At 38.2% G+C, this 1,406-nt stretch overlaps 1 protein-coding gene across 17 annotated transcripts in view, besides 1 other annotated feature; it reads right to left on the reverse strand.

Moving 5' to 3' along the window:
* Positions 1–1,406, reverse strand: part of DENND5B (DENN domain containing 5B) — a 208,911-nt gene that overhangs the window by 206,291 nt on the left and 1,214 nt on the right. The gene's annotated exons all lie outside the window — the stretch shown is intronic.
* Positions 1,141–1,220: an enhancer, noted in NCBI's record as "active region_6168". NCBI's record gives its function as "activates an Ori minimal core promoter by ATAC-STARR-seq in GM12878 lymphoblastoid cells {active_cell/tissue: GM12878}" and the evidence as "EXISTENCE:reporter gene assay evidence [ECO:0000049][PMID:35858748]".

The raw sequence follows: 1,406 nt of genomic DNA on the forward strand, positions 1-1,406 counted from the left end.
TTCCCTAAACAATACAGTATAACAACTATTTACATAACATTACAACGTAACAGGTATTGTAAGTAATCTAGAGATGACAAAGTGTACAGGAAAATGTTCATAGGTTATATACAAATGCTACAACATTTTATTATAAGAGACTTCAGCATCCGAGGATTTTGGTGTGGGGGACACTCTAGAATCCATCCCCCATGGTTACGGAGAGATGATTGTATTTTCATTATCTCTTTACACTAGAACGTATGCTCCATGATGGCAGGGATTTCTGACTGCTTTCTTCACAGCTGTCCCCAGTGCCTAAAAAACCGACTACAGATAGATGCTTTCAAAACTGTTGGATGAATGATACTGAAATATTACAAGGCAAAATACATTATTACCTGAATACATTAAATATTATGAGAAGCAGAAATCCCAATCACCCACACTCACACAGTTTTGCAAAAAGAGACATCATAGTTTGTTTCTTAAAAATGCATTAAAGTCTAATTGATGGTTTTGTTAACATCATTCTCTCTGTGCCTAAAGAGTCCTAGGTCACACCTAAAAGGTACAGTTTTAGCTTCAGTAGGCAAACGGAAAAGAAAAATACAGGCTTTTTTCCTTTCATTAGTCATCACTGACAGAAGGCCTCCAAGTGACCCTGGTGCCACAAATGTTTAGGATCTTTAGGGAAGAAAGGAGTCTAGAAAAATAACAATATTCCTTCACCAATCTCGAGAAGAATCTCTCCAAATCTCTCTGCAGACATTTTTTCTTCATATCCTTTAACAAAGCCATTCTTAACATGTACATGAAATCTTAGTTGAAGAAACAATGTGATTACATAATTACACATACGGAAAAACTTGGTATTCTATTATCTCTCCAAATTTTTTTTTAACTAAAACTAGACTTACAGTTTTTGTTGAAAATGTTTTGTGTTTCTACCTCCGAAGAATATGAAAAAAAGAAAATGTTTTGCTCTGAAGCTGAGTTAAGAAGAAGATAGCCAAGACGTGGGTTGATGGGGACTGTATTTTAAGGCTGAACAGTTTTGTTTACTATTGTTTATTATTTAATATATTCTTCCCAGTCTCCCCACCCCCACCAAAGGAAAAGCGAAAAATTTACGTTAGTGCAATCAATAAGGAATTATTTGTCCAAAGGAAGTTGTTCTGAAAGGCTATGACCTAAGTCTTTAACACAAAGTTCAGGCGGTAGATGTCACTTCTCTCACCCATTTAACAACAACAACAAATCAAGATTCAGATCCCGCGGAGGCAAGCAGAAAGGAACAGGCGTGAAAAATGAAATCAGTTGTTTCTCCCCGGCCTCCTCTCGACACTGCGCACTCCGCTGCCCTGCCCCCGCCCATCGCCCTTTAGCGGCCCCTTTTAACGGCGTCGTTTGCCCAGCACAGCCCC

This window comes from Homo sapiens, chromosome 12 (assembly GCF_000001405.40).
Source record: "Homo sapiens chromosome 12, GRCh38.p14 Primary Assembly".
Lineage (NCBI taxonomy): Eukaryota > Metazoa > Chordata > Mammalia > Primates > Hominidae > Homo > Homo sapiens.